The sequence below is a fragment of the Homo sapiens genome, chromosome 11 (assembly GCF_000001405.40).
Source record: "Homo sapiens chromosome 11, GRCh38.p14 Primary Assembly".
In the NCBI taxonomy this organism is placed as follows: domain Eukaryota; kingdom Metazoa; phylum Chordata; class Mammalia; order Primates; family Hominidae; genus Homo; species Homo sapiens.
In genome coordinates, this window is record NC_000011.10 from 117959670 (window position 1) to 117981650 (window position 21981).

General features: G+C 45.3%; 2 annotated features.

Annotated features, from left to right (window-relative positions):
• Positions 13149–13563: a silencer, noted in NCBI's record as "fragment chr11:117843533-117843947 (GRCh37/hg19 assembly coordinates)". NCBI's record gives its function as "represses an EF-1alpha promoter that drives an FKBP-Casp9 reporter gene in an ReSE screen in HepG2 liver carcinoma cells {active_cell/tissue: HepG2}" and the evidence as "EXISTENCE:reporter gene assay evidence [ECO:0000049][PMID:32094911]".
• Positions 17660–17829: an enhancer, noted in NCBI's record as "experimental_19132 CRE fragment used in MPRA reporter constructs". NCBI's record gives its function as "activates a minimal promoter by MPRAs in K562 erythroleukemia cells, with activity observed for the non-introgressed 11:117848129 variant allele {active_cell/tissue: K562}" and the evidence as "EXISTENCE:reporter gene assay evidence [ECO:0000049][PMID:34662402]".

Consider the following 21981-nt stretch of genomic DNA (forward strand, 5'->3'; position numbering starts at 1 on the left):
TTAGAGACAGAAAACAAATAAGTAGAGCCATATGATTGCCCCCAACGAATTGCCTTGAGAGAATTTCCAGGCCATAGCATGGGTGGGGGTGGAGGTCAGTGGGGGAACTCAACCCCTATGTGGGTGGGGTTAATAGGACAGAATACCAGAGGAGAGAGATGAACAGAAAGGGAACTTCAGATATCTAAAGAGGGTTTCCTTCAAGTGTTCAGCAGAATACTGATGATTGTACTCATAAGAAAAAACTATCTGAGGCCAGGCAAAGAAGCTTCTGAAAGAATGAGAGAGAACAGTACCTGGTATGCAAACAGAATTGAGAATAGTGCCTGTTCCCACTGTACAGACTAGAGAAACTTACAATTCACAGGGAATTAGGTGGAGGATTCAGGATGATCTTGCCTCAGTAGGGGGAAGTAACTAGCCCTAGGCTAAACAGTACTTTAAATTTACCTAACAAATCACAAAAGCAAGACATAAAGGATCAAACTGTTTCCAAGATACTTAGCTGCATCCCAAAACATAGTTCAAGAATAATTACAGGAATACCACAATATCAAGTACCCAACAAGGTAAAATTTACAATGTTTAACATATATCCACAGATTACCAGGCATACAAAGAAAGAGGAAAACAAGACCCATAATGACAAAATAATCAATCAATTGAAACCAACCCAGAACTGACACAGATATTAGAATTAGCAGAGAAGGATGTTAAAACAGCTATTATAACTGTATTTCATATGTTCAAAAAGCTAAGTACAGACATGGAAGAATATTTTTAAAGATGTAATTCTAATTTACAGATGAAAACTACAATGCCAGAAATGAAAAATATACCAGATTGGATTAAGAGCAGAGTAGACATTGCAGAAGTTAAGTGAGCTTGAAATCTTAGCAATAGAAACTGCTCAGCAGTTCAGAAAATGAAACACAGGGGAAAAAATCATCAAAAATGAAAAGGAAAAAGAAAATAGTGTCAGTGAGCTGTGAGTCAACTTCGAGTAGCCTAATATTGGATTCCCTAAAAGAGTCCCTAAAGCAAATGAGAGAGGAAACAGAAAAATATGAAAGGATAAGAGCCAAAAAGTTTTCAAACTTAATGAAAACTGTAAACCCACAGGTCCAAGAAACCAACCAAACAAACAAACAAATAAGCAAACAATAAAACAAACCCCAAAGCACAAAAATATGCAGAAAACTATAGTGAGGCAGATTATAATCAATTTACTAAAAACCAATGTTAAAGAGAAAATCTTAAAAGCAGCTAGAGAAAGACATGTTACATACAGAGGAAGAATTAAGATACGGATTTCTCATCAGAAACAATGGAAGCAAGAAGACTGGAACAACATCTTCAAAGCACTTGAAGGAGAAAACAGTCCATCTAGAATTCCATGCCCGTCAAAAACATCTCTCAAAAATAAAGACATCTTCAGACATAAAAAAGCTGAGAGAAGGCCGAGGCGGGCGGATCATGAGGTCAGGAGATCCAGACCATCCTGGCTAACACGGTGAAACCCCGTCTCTACTGAAAATACAAAAAATTAGCCGGGCGTGGTGGCGGGTGCCTGTAGTCCCAGCTACTCAGGAGGCTGAGGCAGGAGAATGGCGTGAACCCGGGAGGCGGAGCTTGCAGTGAGCCGAGATCGCACCACTGCACTCCAGCCTGGGTGGCAGAGCCAGACTCCGTCTCAAAAAAAAAAAAAAAAAAAAAAAAGGCTGAGAGAATTTCCACCAGCGGAACCACACCATAAAAAAAGTAAAAGGAAATTCTTCAGGCAGAAGGAAAAGAATACCAGATGGAAACCTGGGGTGACACAAATAAATAAAGAATACTGGAAATGGTAGTGACTACATAGGTAAATATATGAATTTTTAAAAATTATTTAAATCTCTTTCAAAGATAAGGGACTGTTAAACCAAAAACAGTTACAACGTATTGTGGGGTTTAGAATATTTGTAATAGCAAAATGCATGATAAAAACAGCACAAAGGCTAAAAAGGATAAAAATGAAAGTATGCTATTGTAGAATTCTTCTACTAGGCATAAAGGACTATAATATCAGTTGAAGTAGGCTGTGATAACTTAAAGATGTATGCCATAAACCCAAAAGCAACCATTAAAAAAGATCCCCAACAGCCAAGAGTTATAGCTAATAAGCCAACAAAAGAGATTTTAAAATACTCCAAAGAAGGCAGAAAAAATGGGAAAGGAAGACAGAACAGATGAGACAAAGAGAAAAGAAATAGCAAGACGATAGACCTAAACCCAACCCAAAAAGCAAGATGCAACTCTATGCTGCCAACAGGAAATTAGCAACAAGGACACCGTGGCTCATGCCTGTAATTCCAGCACTTTGGGGGGCCGAGGTGGGCGGGTCTTCTGAGGTCAGGAGTTTGAGAGCAGCCTGGCCAACATGGTGAAACCCTGTCTCTACTAAATACACAAAAATTAGCCAGGCTTGGTGGCCCTGGCCTGCGCCTATAGTACCAGCTTCTTGGGAGGTTGAGGCGGGAGAATCACTTGAATCCAGAAGGCGGAGGTTGTAGTGAGCCAAGATGGCGCCACTGTGCTCCAGCCTGGGCGACAGAGTGAGACTCCACCGAAAGAAAGAGAGAAAGAGAGAGAGAGAGAAAGGAAGGAAGGGTGGAAGGAAGGAAGGAAGGAAGGAAAGAAGGAAGGAAGGAAGGAAAATATTTATTTTAAATATAAAGGTACTACATGTTAAAAGTAAAAGGATAGGATAGTGTAAACCACACTAACACTAGTCAAGAGAAAACTGGAGTTACTGTGTTACTATCAGACAAGGTAGGTTTTAGAGCAAAGGATATTATCAGAGCTAGAGAAGGTCATTTTATAGTTATAAAGGGATCAATTAATCAAGAGGACACAATTCTAAAGTGTTTATGCACCTTTAAAATATAGACAGTAAAAGTTGCTAGAGTTGCAAGGACAAACAGACAAATTGACAATTACTGTCAGAGATTTCAATATACTTCTCTCAATAAGTGGTAGAATAAGTAGAAAATAAATGAGAACATAGTACATTTGAATAGTACTATCAATCAATTTGACTGGATTGACATTTATAGAACATTCCATCTAACAACGGCAGAATACACCATCTTTTCAAGTATACACAAAGCATTTACCAAGACTGACCATATTCTGGGTCATAAAATAAATCTAAATAAGTTCCGAAGGATTTAAGTCATACAAAATATGTTCTCTGACCACAGTGGAATTAAATTAGAAATTAATACCAGAAAGGTACCTGGAAAATCCCCAAAGTTCTGGTAACTGAGTCCCATACTTCTAAATGACCCATGATCATGACCCAATAAGAAATTGAAAGGGAAATTACAAAGTATTTTGAAATAAATTAAAACGAAAACACAACATAGAATTTGTGGGATGCTGTTAAGCAGTATTTATGAGGAAATTCATAGTGCTAAATGCCCATACTAGTAAAGAAGTATCAACTGGGCGTGGTGGCTCACACCTGTAATTCCAGCACTTTGGGAGGCCAAGACAGGCAGATCACCTGAGGTCAGGAGTTTGAGACCAGCCTGACCAACAAGGAGAAATCCCATCTCTACTAAAAATACAAAAATTAGCCAGGCGTGGTGGCGCATGCCTGTAATCCCAGCTACTCGGGAGGCTGAGGCAGCAGAAATCACTTGAACCTGGGAGGTGGAGATTGCGGTGAGCTGAGATTGCACCACTGCACTCCAGCCTGGGCAACAAGAGCAAAACTCCATCTCAAAAAAAAAAAAAAAAGAAGTATTAAGTAAATATGCTCATATTGCATCTAAAGAAACTAAGAAAATTAAGAGAAAATTAAACCCCAAAGAAGCAGAAAAAGAAAATAACAAAGATCAATGGGGAAATTAATATTAATAAAACAGAAAACAAAATAAAACAAATACAGAAAGCCAATCAAGAGCTGGTTCTGTGTGATTAATAAAATGGATAAACCTGTAGCTATAAGGATTAGGGTAAAAAGAGAGATACCACAAATTTCCAGTATTGGAAATGAGTGAGGTGACCTCGTTCAACAGATTTTACAGATATTGAAAGGATAATAAAGCAATATTATGAGCAACTTTATGTCAAAAAAAATTGAAAACTTGCATGAAATAGATTAATTCTCCTGAAAAACACAAATTACCATGGCTGGTTCAAAAAGAAAGATAACCTAAACAGCCCTATTGTAGTTAAAAACCTTCCCACAAAGAAAACTTCAGGCCCCAGTGGCTTCACTGGTGAATTTCACCAAACATTTAAGAAAGAAATAATACTAAGTCTACACAAACGTTTTCAAAAAATTGAAGCAAAGGGAATACATCTCAACTCATTTTATGAGGCCAGCATTACCCTGATGCTAAAACCAGACAAAGACATTTACAGAAAAAAAACAAAACTAAACTAAAGGCCAAAATCGCTTATGATCACGAGCAAAAATTTTAAACAGTACTTTGGGGCATTGAATCTAGCAATATATTAAAAGGATAATACATCATGACCTAACGAAGTTTATCTCATGACTTCAGGGTTGAATGAACATTGGAAAATCCCTCAGCATAATTCACCTGAAATTCAAGCTGAAAATCAATGATCTCAGTTGCCATCTCAAGACAATAAAAAAAATTAACTAAAAAAGGAAAACCATGTAATCATTTCAATGGATGCAGAAAAAGCACTTGACAAAATTTAACATATATTTTATCCATTCCTGATTTTTTTTTTTTTTTTTTTTTTTGAGACAGAGTCTCGCTCTGTCACTCAGGTTGGAGTGCAATGGCACGATCTGGGCTCACTGCAACCTCCGCCTCCCGGGTTCAAGAGATTCTCCTGCCCCAGCCTCCCAAGTAGCTGGAATTACAGGTGCCCACCACCATGCCCAGCTAATTTTTTGTATTTTTAGTAGAGACAGGGTTTCACTGTGTTAGCCAGGATGGTCTCGATCTCCTGACATTGTGATTCACCCGCCTCAGCCTCCCAAAGTGCTGGGATTACAGGCGTGAGCTACCGTGCCCGGCCCATTCCTGATTTTAAAATCTCTCGGCAAACTAGAAATAGAAGGGAACAACTTCAATCTGATTTTTAAAAATCCACAAAAAGCCTATAGCTATGATCAATCTTCTTTTTTTTTTTTTTTTGGACAGAGTCTCGCTTTGTTGCCCAGGCTGGAGTGCAGTGGTGCGATCTCGGCTCACTGCAACCTCTGCTTCCCGGGTTCAAGCAATTCTCTGCCTATGCCTCCCAGGTTCAAGCAATTCTCTGCCTCGGCCTCCTGAGTAGCTGGGATTACAGGTGCCTGCCACGATGCCTGGCTACTTTTTGTATTTTTAGTAGAGATGGGGTTTCACCATCTTGGCCAGGCTGGTCTTGAACTCCTGACCTCGTGATCCACCCGCCTCGGCCTCCCAAAGTGCTGGGATTACAGGCGTGAGCCACTGCGCCCGGCCAGCTATGATCATTCTTAATGGCAAAAGACTGAATGTTTCCCCCTAAGATCAGGAGCAGGACAGGTTGTCCTCTCCCACCAATTCTATTCAACATTTTACCAGAGGTGCTAGCCAGAACAATCAGGCCAGAAGAAGAAATAGAAAACATCTAGGCTGGGTAGGAAGAAGTAAAACTGACTTTATTTTCAGGTAACATGATTATCTAGGTAGGAAACCTGATGGAATCTACCAAAAAAGCTACTGGAACTTGTAACTGATAACAGACAAGGTAACAGGTTGCAGGATCCATATTTAAAAACAATTGTATTTTTATATACTAACAACAAATAATTGGAAATTGAAATGTATAAAACAATGCCATTTATAATAGCATCAAAAAATATCGAAGACGAAAATGAACCATATGTCGGGACATAAATTGAGCCTCAATGGCTTTCAAAAGTTAGATCATTTAGAGCATATTCTATGAATTAATAAAAAAGAGATAATTGGAAAATCCTCAACTGACTGGGAAGCAAATAATGTACTTCTAAATAATCCAAAGGCCACAAGTAATCATAATGAAATTTTAAAATATTTTATTTATTTATTTTTGAGACAAGGTCTCCCTCTGTCACCAAGGCTGGAGTACAATGGCACAATCACAGCTCACTGTAACCTCGAACTTCTAGACTCAAGCAATCCTCTCACCTTAGCTCCCCGAGTAGGTGGGACTACAGGCCCAAGCCACAATGCCCAGCTAACTTTTAATTTTTTGGTAGGGACAGGATCTCTCCCAGGCTGGTCTCAAACTCCTTGGCTCAAGTGATCTTCCTGCCTCAGGCTCCCAAAGTGCCAGGATTACAGGCCTGAGCCACCTCGCCTGGCACAATTTTAAATATAGCATTAACAAAATTGCTGAGATGTGACTAAAACAGTGCCCAAAGGGAAAGTTATAACTTTAAATAATAAATTAGAGATGAACAAAAGCTGAAAATCAGTGATCTCAGTTGCCATCTCAAGATGATTAAAAAAAAGCACCTGAAACCTAAAAAAAGTAGAAGGATATGACAAAGATAAGAGCAGAAGTTTAAGAATAGAAAACAGAATTTAAAAATTTAAAAAGCCAAAATTTGTTTTTTTAAAAAAGATTAATACATTTGAAAAAAAAATTAGCAAGACTGATTTTGAAAAAGAAAGAGGCCAGGCATGGTGGCTCACACCTATAATCCCAGCACTTTGGGAGGCCGAGGCAGGCGGATCACCTGAGGTCAGGAGTTCAAGACCAGCCTGGCCAACATGGTGAAACCCAGTGTCCACTAAAAATACAAAAATTAGCCGGACATGTTGGCAGGCGCCTGTAATTCCAGCTACTCAGGAGGCTGAGGTGGGAGAATCGCTTGAACCCCGAGTCGGAGGTTGCAGTGAGCCTGAGACTACACCACTGCACTCCAACCTCAGCAACAGAGCAAGAGACTCCCTCTCAAGAAAAAAAAAAAAAAAAAGAAAAGAAAAGGAAAGAAGGGAAGGAAGGAAGGAAGGAAAAGAAAGAAAGAAAGAAAATGTGAATTACTAATATTGGGAATGAATAAAAAAGGCAACATTACTCCAGATCCTAGACAATATATTTTGAACATTATTCCAATTTGGATGAAATGGACAAATTCTTCCAAAAGCCAAGTTCACAAAGATAAAAGAAGAAATAGAAGAGTACTGGGATATTCTGACATCCATTAAGGAAACTGAATCTTTGCCTCCCAGCTCTGTGCTGGCTTCCTTGGAGGCTCATCCTCTGTGGGCGAATGCACGGTATTAGAGTCAGTTAAAAGATTTAAAGGGAATCTGCAGGCAGTTTTAGGGCTCCCTAATCTGCCACTCCCTTCTTCCTGAGATCTTTCCTTCTCCATTTCCGGCTGCTCTGGCAGCTCGGAACCCTGACCTGCAACTGAGTTCTCAGCCCAGCAGCACTCACCCTCATGCGGAATCTGGTCTCCTAAGTGCCACTCGGAACCAGAGTGAGCTCTCAGGGACCTCACCTAGTTTGCTCTACTCCTTCTACTTAACACGACCCTCTCAACGCTGTTGGCTCTTGCTTGTGCTCTAGTGCCTTCAAAATAGTTGGATTTGTTTGTTTTTGCAGATTATATATTTTTTGAAACATTTTCAAACTTTCAAAGGGGTTGCAAGAATAATACAAAGAACTCCTGTATACACTTTACACAGATTCATCAATTGTTAGCACATTTCCATGACTACTGTTCCTTATTGGTAGATGATAGATAGAAATAGAGGTATGCGTCTATGCATGTATATACGTATTTTTAAATAGACTTTTTTTTTTAGAACAGTTTTACGTTTACAAAAACAAAAACAGCTGGGTGTGGTGGTGCACCTCTGTAGTTCCAGCTACTTGGGAGACCGAAGCAGGAGGATTGCTTGAGCCTAGGAGTTTGAGTCCAGTCTGGGCAACATAATGAGACCCTGTCTCAAAAAAAAATGAGGTGGGCCGGGCGCAGTGGCTCATGACTGTAAACCCAGCACTTTGGGAGGCCGAGGTGGGTGGATCACTTGAGGTCAGGAGTTCGAGACCAGCCTGGCCAACATGGCGAAACCCCGTCTCTACTGAAAATACAAAAATTAGCTGGCCATGGTGATGCATGCCTGTAATCCCAGCTACTGGGGAGGCTGAGGCAGGAGAATTGCTTGAACCTGGGAGGCAGAGGTTGCAGTGAGCTGAGATTGCGCCAGTGCCCTCCAGCCTGGGCGACAGAGTGAGACTCCATCTCAAAAAAAAAAAAAAGAGAGAGAGAACATACTACAGAGGGTTCTCATATACCCCACATCCATTATTAACATCTTACATTAGTGTGGTACTTTTGTTACAATTAATGAACTTAATATTGATATATCATCACTGACTATAAAGTCCATACTGTAGTCACATTTCCTTAGTTTTCACCTAACGTTCTTTTCCTTTTTTTTTTTTTTTGAGATGGAGTCTCGCTCTGTCGCCCAGTCTGGAGAGCAGTAGCATGATCTTGGCTCACTGCAACCTCTGCCTCCCAGATTCAAGCTATTCTGCTGCCTCAGCCTCCTGAGTAGCTGGGATTACAGGCGCCCACAACCACACCCAGCTAATTTTTGTATTTTTCAGTAGAGACGGGGTTTCGCCATGTCGGCCAGGCTGGCCTCGAACTCCTGACCTCAGGTGATCCACCCTCCTCGGCCTCCCATAGTGCTGGGATTACAGTCATGGGCCACCACGCCCAGCCCTAATGTCCTTTTTCTACTCCAGCATCTGATCCAGGGTGTCATAATTAGTTGCCATGTCTCCATAGAATGCTTTTGGATGTGAGTCTCTGGGTTTTGGTGCCCTTGACAGTTCTGGTGCATACTGGTCAAGTGCAGTGTAGGAGTTCCCACTATTGGAGTTCATTTTATGGTTTCCTCATGGTTATCTGGGGCTGTGCGTTCTGGGAAGGAAGACTACAGAGGTTAAATGCCGTTCTTGTCACATCACATGAAGGGTGTATACTATCAACGTAACTTACTGCTATTGATTTTCATCTTATTCAGCAGGCTGACGTTGTTTGTTGGCTTCTCCACTATAAAGTTATTCATTCTCCACTTTCTATGCTGTATTCTCTGGAAGGAAGTCACTGTACAGCCTGCACTTAGGAAGTCACTATGTGCAGCCTGCACTTAAAGAGTGAGAAGGTTTTCTTCCTCCACCACCATTGATGGCAGATTATCTATGTAAGTGATACGAAATTCTTGTACACGGGAGATCTGTCTCTTCTAATAGCTGAAGTTTTAAATATTTTATTCAGAATTTATAACTGTTATCAGCCAAAGGGTGTTTGGAAATAGCTTGTACTGGAATAACCCTTTGGCTGATAACAGTTTATAGACTCTGAGCGGGATCTCTCATATCTAACATTTGTTGGACACTTACTTGGTACCATGCACTGTCCTAAACATCATTCACATATCTTATTTCATTTAACCTTTGCGATAACTCTACATAGTATTATTATGCCCATTTTATGCATAAAGAATCAGAGCCCTACTGGTGAGCCCCACTGCATTCCCGTGTGTGCCTTGCACACCATACTTTTAAAATTTCAGTGAATTTCCTTGCCGTATTTGTCCATGAGGGTTTTGTGCTGCTAGGTGAGCCCTGCTCTCACTGGTCTTGTTCATGCATTTCTGGTTCCCCCCCCTTCCTTCCCTGCTGGGCCTGGTTGTGTAGTAACTGGGTGCCCAACTCAGCATGCTCCAGAGCCAACCCCAGAATTCAGTTCCGTGATTTCTGATAGGTGCCTGAACTCTCAGACACAGACTATGAGACCCTGGCCACCATAACAGTCCCAGGGAATGAGGGGCCATAGCCTGACACCTCCACTCACACATAAAGTACCCTTGCCACCCAAGGGCAAAAACAGCACCTCACACCTATGAGGACCTGAGAGATCTAGAAGTCTGTTTCACACTCTGAGCAAAATCCCCCACCCAGATGTTAAAAAGGCAAGAGGGCAGGCAGGGAGTTGAAGACTCAAAAGCCACTATGGTTGGAAAAGAAAACCAAACCAAACAATTTGTGGACGGTTAACCCACCTGCCCACAAAACAACCCTTAAAGAAGGACCCATGAGGTATGGTGGGGCTCAGCCAATTTTCACAAGTATGAACCATTTAACGCTCAAGCTTTCACCCCTCCTTACTACCACCCCTAGTGCTTTGTGCTGGGCACCACAATGAGGTGAAAAGACAGCTTGGGTGCAGAATCTCATTTGATTTTTACAAAAGCCTTAGGAGGATGCAGGGCAGGGATTCATACCCTCACTTTATCATAGAAATGGAGGCTTAGAGAGGTCAAGTGATTTGCCAAGCATGGTCCAGTAAGTGAACATGCTGTCCAACTCCATCTTGGACTTTATATGGAATGGCTCAGTGGAAAAGACTGGAGCCATTCCCATTAAAAAACATCAAGTAGAGGCACCTAATAATAGTGGCCGATCAACAAAGATGCACATGAAACTGTTGGTCAAAACAGCACATTCTTCCCAAAGCTGGAGCACTTAGGAAGATGAGAATGTCTAGTGTTAACCAAGGAAGGTTCTCCATAAGCAGTGTTGAGTATTCTGCAGAAGGGGGGAAGAGAAGGCACAAAGAAGGCCAAATAGCTGCACACTCCCAGGACTGTGTCCCCACTCTCTGACTGCCATCTCCTAGAGAGCTTGCCTGGCTGGGGTCCCCATACAGAAATCATCTGGTGGCCTGTGCAAGGAAACAGCCAACCTCAGAGTTCTATTCCCACTCAGACATGTCTCTGCGGGTTGCCAGCATATGGCCCACTGCCTAGCACACAGTGGGTGCACACTAAATGTCTGTTGACTGGAATTAGCTGATAAATGTTTGCTGACTGAGGCACAGACAGGTGAAGTCACTCTTCCAATATTACACAGCCAGTAAGTAGCAGAAGTGAGATTCAACCCAAGTCAACAGACTATTCAGCACTTAACCCTCTCTGTTTTCCCCTCCACCATACAGCCTCTTGCCCCAAGGACCAGAATAATGTTGTTTCCTCATCCTATTCCTTCTCATTCCCAACACAATGTGTGCCACACGGTAGGCTCATAAGAAGTTTTTGTTGACTGAAGCTTAGCGGTCTGCCCCAACACTGAGCCTGGGGAGTTTCCTTATTAAACCACAAGCCACACTGAGCAGGAAGTGGAGGGATGGGCCTGAGTCAGGAATAGGAGGAAGAGGCCCTGGATACAGAGCAGTAGCCAAGGGTGAGGACTGGGGTAGAGGGTGGGGAGGAGGCACACCACAATAGTCTCCACACAATCTTTGAAACCCCACCCGCCACCCCAGGCCACCCCAAGCCCTGCACAACCTGCCAGAGCCAGCCATACCTCCGTTCTGCCATCTGTCCCCTCCACCTGGAAGTCTCTTCCTTCCCTCTTTGAAGGGAAGGTTACCCCAACTCATGCAGATTTAAGGGTACTTCCTCCTGGAAGCTTTCTTGGCCTCCTTACCAGGTAAAACCCCAAATACAGGCTCTCATGGCACTTACCACAGTCGCAACTCTGCGTTTTATTTGAGTGACTATTTGATTCACATCCATCTCTCCTTCTAAACCGCAAGCTCCTGGGGGGCTCTCCTTTGCTCACCGTGTATTCCCAGCATCCTGCACACTGCCTTGCACTGAGGAAATAGCCAGTGACCCTGTGTCGAATAGGGAATGACTGAATGAATATAGAGATGAATGTTGAAACTGGAACACTCTCTGTGGTAGGATGAAAATGGCCCCCAAAAGATATCCAGACCTAATCCCTTGAACCTGTGAGTGTTACTTTATATGGGAACAGTGTCTTTGTATATTGGGTCTTGAGATGGGGAGGTTATCCTAGATGATCAAAGTGAGCCCTAAATGCAATTGCATTGGAGCTCTTAAGAAATTTTTGGTATAAAAAAGAGGCAGGGAAAGATTTCACTCTCACACACACACACACGCACACACGAAGGCTAGCCACCAGGAGCCAAAAGAGGCAAGGAACACATTCCTTCCTAGAAAATTCCAGCCCTGCCAGTACCTTGATTGCAGCCCAATGAAACTGATTTCAGACCCTCCAGAACCAGGAGAGAATTCATTCCGTCATCTTAAGCCACCCAGTGTGTGATAATTTGATATAGCCTTGGGAAACAAATACACCTGACCTCCAAAACCCTCCTCACCCTGACCCCCAAAACCCTCCTGCCTTCTCCGTGTCTAAGCACGTCAGATTTATGGGGGATGGAATAATCTAGAATAATCTGAAATAATTTTAAAAGGAAAAAAGAAAAGGGGATCAAGAAGAAAGAGAGGAGAGGGTGAGTGTAAGGAGGGCTAAAGCCCGAGTGTGCAGGGGGATCATAATTTACTCAGAAGCTGCAGGAAGAAGAGCCCTATGTCCATGCCTCTCTCGACTCTCCTCCAGGGAATGTTCTCCACAAGTGGGGGAGGCTGAGAGTTCTCGAGTTCCCTGTCTGTCTCTCTGTCTGTCAGCCAGTAGCCATGAGCCCCATGAAGGAGCCATCCCTCACTTAGGTGGGCCTCACTCACTGGGCGCCAACCCCTCCCACACCGGCCGGGCACGCCCTTACCTGGAGGCCTGGCACTTGCTGTTCCCTTTGCCCACAACACCCTTCGTTCAGATATCCACACGGTTCATTCCTCACATCCCTTGGGTCCTCATTCTAATGTCACCTACTGGGGGAGGCCTGCTGCCCACTCTATTTAAAATGGAGGTGGAGGCCAGGCGCAGTGGCTCACGCCTGTAATCTCAACATTTTGGGAGGCTGAGGCAGGTGGATCGCTTGAGCTCAGGAGTTCAAGACCAGTTCGGGCAACATAGGGAGACCCTGTCTCTATAAAAACCTAAAGAAAAAAAGGAAAAAAAATGGAGGTGGGGGAGGGAAAAGGAAAAAAGGAAAACAAAAAGGCAGCCCTCCCTCCCTACTCCCTAAACCCCTTTCTTACTTTATTGTTCTCGGTGGCGCGTATCACTGTCTGACATGCTACACATTTCTCTCATGTATTGACTCTTGGTGTCCGTCTCCTCCTGCTGCAATGAACACTCCATGTGGCAGGAGTTTTGTTTGCTTTGTCTGCCTCGAATGAAGCCTGGTATGTGGCAGGAAATCAACAGCTATTGAAGAATAAACACTCTCAGAGGGCATTTCTCCAGGAAGATGGAGGCGCTGGGGTGAGCAGATGGGAGCGGGATGATAAAGTCTCTGCTTCAGAAGCCACCAGCCCAGCCACGTCTTCTGCAGATCCTCTGTGCCAAATGCAAACCCTGTCAAGGCATTTCTTACACTTTCTAGTAATTTTCATTCCCACAGACCCCACCCCTGGCTGCCTTGGGCTGTGAGCCTCCCACAGGGGGAATTGGCAGCACCCAAACACCTGCCAGTAGTCCCCAAAGTTGGTTCTTTCCCTGGCAGCCTTCCAACTGGACCTACTGCTGGAATTGTCCCACTTACTGCTTTTTGTCTGTGGCTGGTGTGCGTGGGGCTGGCAGGAGCAGTCAACAGGAATAGTTAGAGTCAGACCTGGGCTTACAAGCCAGCTGTACCACTTATGGAGTTACCTTGGGAAAAGCATATAACCTTTCTAAGACTCAGTTTCCTCCTCTGTAAAGTGGGAAGAGAAGACCTATCTCACATAGAATCAGAGGAAGTACATAGTAGCAAATTGCCCAGCACAACAATAAACCTTAGATTTCCTTTCCCCCACTCTTTCTAACTAAACATCCTCCAAGACAAACATAGTATCCTTTCTGTTTTTGTCCCCAGGTGCTTAGCACAGTGCCTGACACAGGGACTACTCAATGAATGTTTGCAGATTTGAGCTACTGACCCAAGAAGAAGGTGTGGCAGTTATGAACTTTGTCACCAAATTGGGATCTCAGAAGAACTGTGCAACTGACTTATGCTTTAGTATGTGGTGACCACAGTTGGCCTAGGGAGAAGAATTGAGTGGAGAGGGGGAAGTAATCTTGAGTCTGGGGCTTAAGAAAGTGGTGTAATAGCAAGAGGCTGTGACCAACCGCCATAAGTATCTCGCTTTGTGGGTGGACAGGAGGCCTCTCCTGGGACCAGTGGATGGGTGAGCACCCAGTAATCACAAGGAAACCCTTCTGTTAATGTATACGTATAGACACACGTAGTGACTGCTTACCAGAATTTCATGAATCTCAGCATCTATTTACTTCAGCTTTCCAACATTAGGCTGAGAATTTATTTCTACAATGTGCAACAATAAACATGAGTCACCTCTTTGAAACTTCATACTGTGCACCAAGTGTTGATCAAAACTGTGTATATTTCTGAATACGTATTTACTTAAATAACTTGTATGGGTTTTGAACACATTTATTAATTAAAGTTAAAAAAAATTTTTTTTGAGACAGAGTTTCACTCGTTGCCCAGGCTGGAGTGCAATGGCGCAATCTCAGCTCACTACAATCTCCGCCTCCTGGGTTCAAGCAATTCTCCTGCCTCAGCCTCTTAAGTAGCTGCGATTACAGGCATGTGCCACCATGCCCAGCTAATTTTTTTTTTTTTTGTAATTAGTAGATACGGGGTTTCACGATGTTGGTCAGGCTGGTCTTGAACTCCTGACCTCATATGATCCACCCGCCTTGGCCTCCCAAAGTGGGATCACAGGTGTGAGCCACCGCACCTGGCTAGTTTAAAATTTTTAAAAATGTGAAGATGACCTCACCATATACAAGAACTCAAAGAATGCTCAGAAGAAATGCTAATTTTTTTCATGGTCCTGGTAATTTTCCACTGGAATTTTGGGGTGTCCTGAAAAGAGAGGCTGGGGTAGGACAGAGGGACAGGTTAGTGAAGACAGAAAGGGGGTTGGCTGCGGACTATCAGAGATACCAGCAGGACCTCCCCCACCAATATCACCCAAATGTTGGCCTGTTTAAAAGAGTTTGGAAAAGGAGGTGAGAAGAACATCACCTGTCTTGTTCTTCTGTCCCAAAAGGTCAGATCGCCACAGAATGAATGTGGGGGCGAGGTATGAACCCGCTATGCTCTTGAGATAGCTCTTCCTCTCTGACTTTCGTTTTCTTATAAATTATAAAACTTCACAACTCCTTAGGACTGCAGAGCTTCTCTTTTCATGCCCCACTCCCACACATCCTCTGCTGGGCACTTGTACATGCTCACCATTTGTCATCCCTGGCTGGCCTCCAGTTACCATTTCTTTTCTTTTCTTTTTTTTTTTTTTGAGACGGAGTCTCGCTCTGTCACCCAGGCTGGAGTGCAGTGGAGCGATCTCCGCTCACTGCAAGCTCTGCCTCCCGGGTTCACACCATTCTCCTTCCTCAGCCTCCCGAATAACTGGGACTACAGGTGCCCACCACCACGCCCGGCTAATTTTTTGTATTTTTAGTAGAGACGGGGTTTCATTGTGTTAGCCAGGATGGTCTTGATCTCCTGACCTCGTGCTCCACCTGCCTCAGCCTCCCAAAGTGCTGGGATTACAGGCGTGAGCCAGGCACCTGGCCACCATTTCTATTTTTTTTTTTTTTTTTTTTGAGACAGAGAGTCTCGCTCTGTCGCCCAGGCTGGAGTGCAGTGGCGCGATCTCAGCTCACTGCAAGCTCCGCCTCCCGGGTTCACGCCATTCTCCTGCCTCAGCCTCCCAAATAGCTGAGACTACAGGTGCACGCCACCACGCCTAGCTAATTATTTTTTTTTGTATTTTTGGTAGAGATGGGATTTCACTATATTAGCCAGGATGGTCTCCATCTCCTGACCTCGTGATTTGCCTGCCTCGGTCTCCCAAAGTGCTGGGGTTACAGGCGTGAGCCACCACGCCCAGCCCACCATTTCTTACATTTGTCATTAATTATGTGAAAGAGGAAAGACTGTACTTCCAGTGTGTCCTGGGAAGAGTGGTGGAATGGAAACATGTAGGTAGATGACAGGAGCCCCCTGAAAGGATTCTAGGGTTCCATGGGGGGCAGGGAGACCCCCTGGAGCCTGGGGGACAGGGAGAAGAGGCTTCCCACTGTGAGCTGCTCAAGACATGTTTGGCCCAGCAGTGAACAGAAAGGAAACCCAATTTATAGGAAAAATGACAGCAGTACTAATATCCACAAGTATATAACACTTTAGAGTTTACAGAACACTTTAGATCTAAGCTGTTTCTTCTCATATCATAATGAAGTTACCTATTGAAGTCTAAACACCCTAAAAGCGCATGAGTCTGATAAGGCCAGTGTCTTACTAATTTTTGGATCCTACCATGCCTAGGCAAGTGTACTTAACAAATGTTTGCTTGCATTCATCCTCTCAACAACCCTGACAGGTTGGAAGAAGTGGTATTATCCTCGTTTTTTAGCTAAGAAATCCGAGACCTGGGGAATTCATGACTTACCCAAAGTCACGGATGGCAACTGACAGACCTGGGGCTTGAACCTCAGGCTTAGGTCTTCCCATTGAGCACTCGGGCTGCTGCCAGAGACAGGGGAGAATATAGAGCTTTAAATCCTTGAAGCAAAGGAGCTGTAATTCAAGGATTTACAAGACATTTCTGCATGACAGAGGAGTGATTAGGATTTGTCTTCACATGGGAGTCTCCCTGTATTGGGTGAACCTTCTTAGTCTTGTCAATATAAAGTACATGCATACCCATTGTTCTGGAAGACATCCTAGACATCTGTGATGGGTCCGAGACAGAGTCCTCAGACTGAAGTGTTACTGGTTTCATTTAGCAATGTCAGTGGAGTATCTCCTTAGCAGAACCATGCCCCTGAGGAATTACAGAATTTGTTTCCCAAAGTCTCAATTTAGGCTGTCCCATGGCTGAAAATCATTATCCTTTGTCCAGTCATTGTTCACTGCAGGGCAGGAGCCCAGACAACCGCAGGAAGAGCAGGCAGACCAAGTCTCTTCCCTTCCGGGCAGGAATGACCGAGGTAAGGCCCTGGATTGGGCCTGATTTGTCATTATCTGGGCCACACGGCTGCTGGCCCACCTGCAGGGTTATTTAAGGCCAAGGCAGGCTTAAGGCAACTAGCCCTATGTGAGCCATTGGAGCCAGGTTGTACCTTCAGGATAGGTCTAGGAATTTCTCTTGAAAGATATTGATGTTCTTGCTGTGAATCATCTTGAGGCAAAAAGTTAAAAACAAAACAAAACAAGGTGGTCTTTGGGCAGGAAGAGGAAGGCCTCTGCTCTCTTTATGGGCAAGGAGGGTGTTCAGAGAGGCCTAGAGACTTCCAAAGGCAAGAAGTTCACTGGCCTCTCCCTGCCACCAACATTGCCAGAAGCTTAAGGAGGGTTTGCAAAATGCAGCTGAACTGGTGGGTGCTCTGAAACTACTGCTTTGAGCAGTTGTAACAGACTATCTCTTTGGTACTTTTGTTATTTGAGAGCTTCCAATAGCATTTTTTCAAAGATGCTGGGCCTGTGTCCGTACTTCAAACAAACAGCTGCAGCTCAGAGGCCACCACCGTGAGACGCTCAGAGGTGAGGTGCAAGCCCTCTAGGATGGCTCTGGGATTGGAAACCCAAGAGCAGATGGACTTCCTGCATTTGTGGGATGGGAGTTCAAACTGTTGTTATTTTAGAATTAAGGGGAAATGACACCCTTAAAAACTGGAGAAGTCAAGGCCATCTGGGCTGCAGAAGGAAGACACGACTGTGTCTTGAAATGACACGAGATATTTCTGTCAATGTTCTGTTCTTCACTTCTTGCATCCCAAGTTCACAAAGCAATGACAATGGACTAAGTTCATGGACCAGGTCCACAGCCTTCCTGACGAGGTGATTTTCTTAAAATAATTCTGGGGGAGGGAGGTGTCCCAAGTACAACCAAAGGCCCAGTTGTCCCAAGATGGTGTGGTGGGCCTCAGCACAACATACAACCCAGAGTGAGGCCAAACACATCCAGGCCATGAAAGAAAGGGGCTAGATCCCTCTAGTCAGCGTGCTTTTTGCTGAATGTTTCTACAGACCTCACTCCCTCTTGTGTCCGGAATTGGTGGGTTCTTGGTCTCACTGACTTCAAGAATGAAGCTGCGGACCCTCGCGGTGAGTGTTACAGCTTTTAAGGTGGCGCGTCTGGAGTCTGTCCCTTTTGATGCTCAGATGTGTTCGGAGTTTCTTCCTTCTGATGGGTTCGTGGTCTCGCTGGCTCAGGAGTGAAGCTGCAGAGCTTTGCGGAGAGTGTTACAGCTCTTAAGGCAGCGCATCTGGAGTTGTTCGTTCCTCCTGGTGGGCTTGTGGTCTCACTGGGCTCAGGAGTGAAGCTGCAGATCTTCGCGGTGTTACAGCTCATAAAAGCAGCGCGGACCCAAAGAGTCAGCAGTAGCAAGACTTATTGCAAAGAGCGAAAGAACAAAGCTTCCACAGGGTGGAAGGGGACCCGAGCGGGTTGCCAACGCTGGCTCGGGCAGCCTGCTTTTATTCTCTTATCTGGCCCCACCCACATCCTGCTGATGGGTAGAGCCAAGTGGCCTGTTTTGACAGGGTGCTGATTGGTAAATTTACAATCCCTGAGCTAGATACAAATGTTCTTCACGTCCCCATCAGATTAGTTAGATACAGAGTATGGACACAAAGGTTCTCCAAGGCCCCACCAGAGCAGCTAGATACAGAGTGTCGATTGGTGCACTCACAAACCTTGAGCTAAACACAGGGGTGCTGATTGGTGTGTTTACAAACCTTGAGCTAAACATAAAGACTCTCCGCGTCCCCACCAGACTCAGGAGCCCAGCTGGCTTCACCTAATGGATCCCGCACCGGGGCTTCAGGTGGAGCTGCCTGCCAGTCCTGCGCCGTGCGCTCGCATTCCTCAGCCCTTGGGTGGTCGATGGGACTGGGCGCCTTGGAGCAGGGGGTGGTGCTCCACGGGGAGGCTCGGGCCTCAGAGGAGCCCATGGAGTGGGTGGGTGGCTCAGGCATGGCGGGCTGCAGGTCCCGAGCCCTGCCCCGCGGGAAGGCAGCTAAGGCCCGGCAAGAAATCGAGCACAGCGCCGGTGGGCCGGCACTGCTGGGGGACCCAGTACACCCTCCGCAGCCACTGGCCCGGGTGCTAAGTCCCTCATTGCCCGGGGCCAGCAGGGCTGGCTGGCTGTTCCGAGTGCGGGGCCCGCCAAGCCCACGCCCACCCGGAACTCCAGCTGGCCCGCAAGCGCCGCACGCAGCCCCGGTTGCCGCTGGAGCCTCTCCCTCCACACCTCCCTGCAAGCTGAGGGAGTGGGCTCCAGCCTTGGCCAACCCAGAAAGGGGCTCCCACAGTGCAGTGGGGGGGCTGAAGGGCTCCTCAAATGCCGCCAAAGTGGGAGCCCAGGCAGGGGAGGTGCCGAGAGCAAGCGAGGGCTCTGAGGACTGCCAGCAGGCTGTCACCTCTCACTCTCACTTGAGAAGCCATTATCAGTTACCAGAACACTTTGTGTCTGGCTTTACAACAGCCCAGATTCCAATCTTGCCAACAGCTAATAGAGCCAAAGGGACCGGTTCCAGGGTGCACGACTGGTAGTGACCAAGCTGGGGCTAGAAGTAGGTCTGTTGGTTTTGAGGTAACCAGGCTCCTCCCACCTAAGGCAATGACCAAGAACAGTGTCCCAGGCAGATTATAGGAATGAGAAGGCTCTTAGCCCCAGCTCTGCTGATTTAAAGTAATTAGCATGGGCATTCCTTCACCTGGGAGATCAGTACTTCTTCCCCTTCCCCCTAAACTGATGGGCATGACAACCTCACGCAGTCTTCACAGTTCCACAAACTTAGCTGCTATGGTTTGAGAGCCAGAGAGTTGAGCTTCGATCTGGAGACCAAAGTTTTAATTCTGTCACTAACTAGTGAGTTACCCTGGCTACTCACCTTCATGCTCTAGATTTCCTCTTCTATTTAAAATGCAAATCTGCCATATCCCTCTCCTGCCTAAAACCCTTCACTGATGCCTTTCACCCACCCAGCTAAAGTTCTAGGAACTCCCCATTCAAGCCTGAGCCACCACACAGAGTCGAGAGGAATGTTGAGAATGGGGTTTTGTCCCTTCTGAGCTCTTTGGTGCTCCTCCAGGGGGGAGCCAGGGAGAAGGTGAAGGGATGTGGACACTCATTAGGTTTGGCAACTGGAGACTTCTCCCAGGGCCGTTGCTGGGGCTGGGCGAGCCCCTCACTGTGCATCTGCAATTCTCCTGGACCCAACAACTACCAAGTTTCCTACCCACACAGTTTCCTTCTCTGTGTCTCCTTCTTACGGTCAGTTCCCTCTGTGTCTCTCTCCTTGTTATGTGCAGCTCTGACACAGTGATCACAAGTCCTGGAACTTCCCTACTCACCAGTTGAGGGACAGAAACTGCAAGTTACGCTTGTTAGCACACTCAAGCACAGACTTCCTGCCAACTCAGATGCCCATCCGACTCCCCAGGCATGCCCATTTAACAGCATCATCCTGAGCACCAAGATAAAGTCAAATGAAAATGAGACAATGGAACCACCCAGAGCCCAAAATCTGCCCTCAAAATTTCCCAGGGTAACCCTAGGGGCCAGATGTTCACGCAGCAGGTTCCCTGGTTCCCTGGGCTAGCCACGTCCCTCTACCATCTACAAGACTCTCAGCCCTCAGCTGTTCCTCCTCTCTTGCCCTCCCCCTTGTCTTTTTCTCCAACCCCGTTCTCTCTTTCTCTCAATCACTTGACATTTGTCTCTTGCAAGAATTCTTCCAAGATTCAGAAGGGCACTGTTCACATGGTAGTAAAAGCATGAGCTCTGGAGTCAAACAGACCAGTTGAACAGGCTTCTAGCTCTGCTACGTACTGAGTGAATGACATGGGCAAGTGACTCAGTCTCTCACCTCATTTTCCCATCTGTAAAACACTGATAATGATGCTTATCTCACTGAGTGTTTATAAGGATTAAATGAAATAAGGTTTGCAGATTATTCAGGGTAGTTAACACTAGCTGCTATGAAAAAAACTTCACAAAATCTCAGTGGCTTGAGAGGGTTTACTCCTCACCCAATCAATAGGCTGATGCAAACTGGGTGTCTTTTCTGCACAGCTGCCCTCCAAGAGGTGATTCAGGGGCCCAAGCTCCCTCTATTCCCTTGGAGTCCTCCACTGGACACCTCCAGATGGCTGGCAGAATAGCAAAGACAGAGTTAGCAGCCAGGCCTGGAAGTGGCACCCATCAACTCAACTTTACAGTGCTTAAAAGCCAGCCACATATTCTACTTAACTGCAAGGGGGACTGGGAAATATAGTTGCCCCATGTGCCCAGGAAGAGGAACTGGTATTACTAAGCATCTGGCCATTCTCTGCCACAACATGTGAAGTATTTCACATAGTGCCCGATAGGTCATAAAAACTCAATAAATATTAATAGAAGATATGGCCAGGTGTGGTGGCTCACGCCTGTAATCCTAGCACTTTGGGAGGCTAAGGCAGGAGGATCGTTTGAGCCTAGGAGTTCCAAACCAGCCTGGGCAACATGGTGAAATGTCATCTCTACCAAAAAAAATAAAATAAAATAAATTACCTGGGCATGGTGGCCTGCACCTGTAGTCCCAGCTACTCAGGAGGCTGAGGTGGGAGGATCACTTGAGCCTGGGAAGTAGAGGCTGCAGTGAGCCAAGATCAAGCCACTGCACTCCAGCCTGGGTGACAGAGTGAAACCTTGTCTCAATAAATAAATAAATAAATAAAAATTAAGAAAAAATTTAAAAAGAGAAGATCCTTTAATGATTGCCTCCTATCATATGTCTCTCTACTGGTGTGAATACCAGAATACACAGAACTTTAGGGTGGACTTTTCAGAACACTGAAAACAAAACAAAATAAACATGTGGATTCCGTGTTTCTTTTTCTTCCTTTTCAAGTATAGTAATCACATGCCTGACGTAACTCCTATTCTGGGTGCTCTCCATGAGGCAGCAGGATACATTGGAATAGCCTGCATTCAAATCCTGGCTCTGCCCTGAGCTAGGTATTAACCTATGTTAGCCAC